Source organism: Homo sapiens, chromosome 2, assembly GCF_000001405.40.
Source record: "Homo sapiens chromosome 2, GRCh38.p14 Primary Assembly".
Classification (NCBI taxonomy): Eukaryota; Metazoa; Chordata; class Mammalia; order Primates; family Hominidae; genus Homo; species Homo sapiens.
In genome coordinates, this window is record NC_000002.12 from 111219079 (window position 1) to 111222594 (window position 3516).

General features: G+C 44.5%; 1 long non-coding RNA gene across 7 annotated transcripts in view; it reads right to left on the reverse strand.

Moving 5' to 3' along the window:
• Positions 1-3516, reverse strand: part of MIR4435-2HG (MIR4435-2 host gene) — a 299296-nt gene that overhangs the window by 23213 nt on the left and 272567 nt on the right. The window lies entirely within an intron of this gene.

The window sequence follows — 3516 nt, forward strand, 5'->3', positions numbered from 1 at the left end:
ACAGCTGTTTAGACAGAAAAGCTAAAAACAGTTGAAAACAGCTAAAAGCAGCTTCTTTTCTGTTCAGATTCCAAGATCATGCCAATTTTATCCATATTTTAATATCTGGCATGATCCAGGATCTTTTTAACCTAAGGACATAATTTTCCACAATTATTATCCTTTTTACCTAAGGACAAAAAAATTACAGTAGTGAAAATAACCCGAAAAGCAAGATCCTGAAGTTCCGTGCTTGCAGTTGGCTGGCCCTCTGTGCCTCTGTGGGCAGGTGGCCGCCGGGCTTTGTGTCTGAGGGGCTGCATAGTAGAATGACTCAGCAAAGCAGTGGCCTGGGGAGCATAGAAGAGGCTGACTAAGATTATGAGCTTTCAGGGGAGCATTCTTTTTAGCTGGCAAATTTCTCTTTTAAGGTAATGAAAGTGTTTCAGGTTCCTCTTTGTCCATTTGCAAATAAACTGGTGAGTTAACGTCACTCCCAGTGCAAATGAGAGTGTAGTGCACACGTCATGAAGATGAAGTGGTTTCCCCTTAATTTTGCATATTTTCTTGTCTGCTTTTAACTCTAGAAGATATTTGCCTTCACCTGATTTACAGTCAGGTTCGTTTCTCGCATCGTAAATGGACTCTTCTCGGTTGTCCTCACAAATTATTCATTGCTCTCATTTCATGTATGATGCCCCTGATTTTGTAGCATTGGCCCTAATAGAATATTAGACAAAACTCAAGGAGGAGAAACTTGTGTGGGGATAGGGGAATAGATGGGTGCCCTTTGTAGAACAGAACTCTGTCTTGGGCTTCTTTTTTTTATCCTGTAAGGCTTAACTGTAAGAAGCTCACAGTATCTCCATATAAGCCTTCTGGTTGATTGACAAATATTCTCAGCAGGGATTATTTAAGAAAACGGATCTCAATATTTCTAAGAGCTAGCTGCAGTGACTCATGGTGAACAGAGAATTATGATTGGACAGTGTTAGAGCCATTGAGACCACGTTATTGCACCTCAATGCTTAGCATAACGCCTCATGCATCTACTTGTTCATCCATCCATTTTTCAGCTAGCTTTTACTACATGAAATCCTGATATGAAGCTCTATGCCACGTGTTTACTCCATATACCTATCCCAGTGACTCTTTCAACTCAAGCTTGCTCTCTGAGGACAAAATCATGAACACATCCACAGACCCACACTCTACCTCTCTCCCACTAGAAGACCAGAATCCGTTTTCCAGTTCCCCCAAGCCCAAGCACTGTGACTCTCACCTGTCCATGGAAGCCTCTAAGCCACTCCCCCCAGCCCCCATCCTGTTCCTTGGTCTCCTTCCTCCTCAGCACCTTGGAGCCTCCAGAGTTGATCTTACTTCTTCTCAGGTCCCCCTGGCATCCTCATGGGCCCTGACAGACTCATTTAGAGAGCCAAAGAGCCCTCTATGAGGTTTCCAAATTTTTCCCAATTAAGATTAGCTTGTCTCTTCTGGCGGGGCATGGTGGCTCATGCCTGTAATTCCAGCACTTTGGGAGGCCGAGGTGGGCAGATCACCTGAGGTCAGGAGTTCAAGACCAGCCTGACCAACATGGTGAAACCCTGTCTCTACTAAAAACACAAAAATTAGCTGGGTGTGGTGGTGGGTGCCTGTAATCCCAGCTACTCAGGAGGCTGAGGCAGGAGAATCACTTGAACCTGGGAGGCAGAGATTGCAGTGAGCCGTGATCGCACCACTGCACTCCAGCTTGGGTGACAAGAGCGAAACTATTTCAAAAAAAAATTAACTTGTCTCTTCCATGCTGGGGAGTAAAAGCCTCTCTGCTTCCATGCCCAGCTTCTACCCTTGCCCTGTCCAAAATAAAGCAAAGTCCAATCCCAGCTGGCTCCTCCCTGCTACCTGGGGAGTATTCTCACTTGCGCTTTACATCTCTGCTTGGCACCCTCAAGCCTCAAAAAGAGGTTTTTATTGTAATATCATATTACACTAAATTTGAAAAAGAAAAAGTAACACCCTCTCACCCCCACACCCAAATACAGCCACAGTTATCATTTTGGTGGGTTTGACTGGGCTCCTCTTTCTTGTGAATGTTGTCATGGTTATATGCACACAATGTTGTGCCCTGCTCCTGTCAAAAGCATGCCTCCATGTTGCTACATGAACAATAGTCACCATGTACATGCATAACAACATTAAAACATTTATAATGAACTGTAATTTTAGCACTGCATACACCTATCAAAATGACAATTAACACTCAAGTGATACTTTGCTCCATATTTTGGATTTTTTTTTTTTTTTTTGTAGAGAGGGTTAAGAACACTCTTGCAATTCTTAACACATCATGATAAATTGATCTCCATGGGAGACTGTACAAATGCATACTGTCAAGAGCAATCTGAGAAGATAGCAGTTTTACCATATCCCTGTCAGCACTGGAAATTGCAATGGAAATGTTAATTTTCGTTAATGTATCAGGGCAAAAGGTAGCTCTTCATTGATATTTATTTCAATTTGATTACTAATATGGTTGTTGAATAGTTTTTCATGGGCCAGTTATACCAGAACGGGTCTAAGCCAGCTAAGTGCTCTGCTGTCTTTCCCTTTGGTGTCTATACTGTGGAAAGTTATTGTTCATAGAGCTTTTGCGAGCTTGCCACCTCTGCCATTGATACCAGGCACGCCATATTTTGTAGAGCCAGCTTTATTTTTATTTTGAAGTGGCTTCCCCCTTTCTGAAAAGGGACTTGGCAAGAGTTCCGTTCTGTCACAGTGAATTAGACACCAACTTCCCTTGTCAACAGAAGTTGGCCTGTTGGGCTAGACTTGGGCACCAGGTGCCACCTCCTGCTTGGCTGCCCTCTCAGTGACATCATCTATACCTGGAATGCCCAGTGGGTATTGCACTAGGAAAGAATCTGGCCTGCTTGGACTGTGTCTGGTCACAGGTCAGTGGAATTTGAGGAGCAACACAGTGGCAAAGCCCCACAAGGACTGGCAGCCTGACTCAAGAAGGCTCTAAACCATTCATCCCCTTCAACTGCCACACCACCATATCTGGCCCATCAGTGCTGAGAAGGTGAGCCAGGTGGGGACCACAGTGTCACTAAGTCAAACATGATGAGGCAGAAGGAAAGGTCTCGGCATAGAAAATGTGCCCTCTGTCTTGAGGCAGAGACATCCATTTTATATGCTCAATCAACATATATGTAGCATTTTTATGCTGTTCAATCACCCTCCTGAAAATGTTCATGACAAAACAGACCCTCCCCACAGGCCTACCTTCCCTTGCCCTGGCAGCAGCCTCCTTGAACAGAGTCCCAGGGAGACAGAATAATAAAAATTACAACTTCCTCTATCAGGAGGAAGGCTGCACCCTCACACTGATTGCCTTTGCCTGAAAAGTTTCTTGGCCACACCGTGGCTTCCTTGGGCTTTTGGGGCTCACTGTGGGGCTGCCTATCTCTCTCCACACCACACACACATTTAAGCTCTTCACTGGGACATCATGAGCTAAGAAGTCTGAGATTTTGC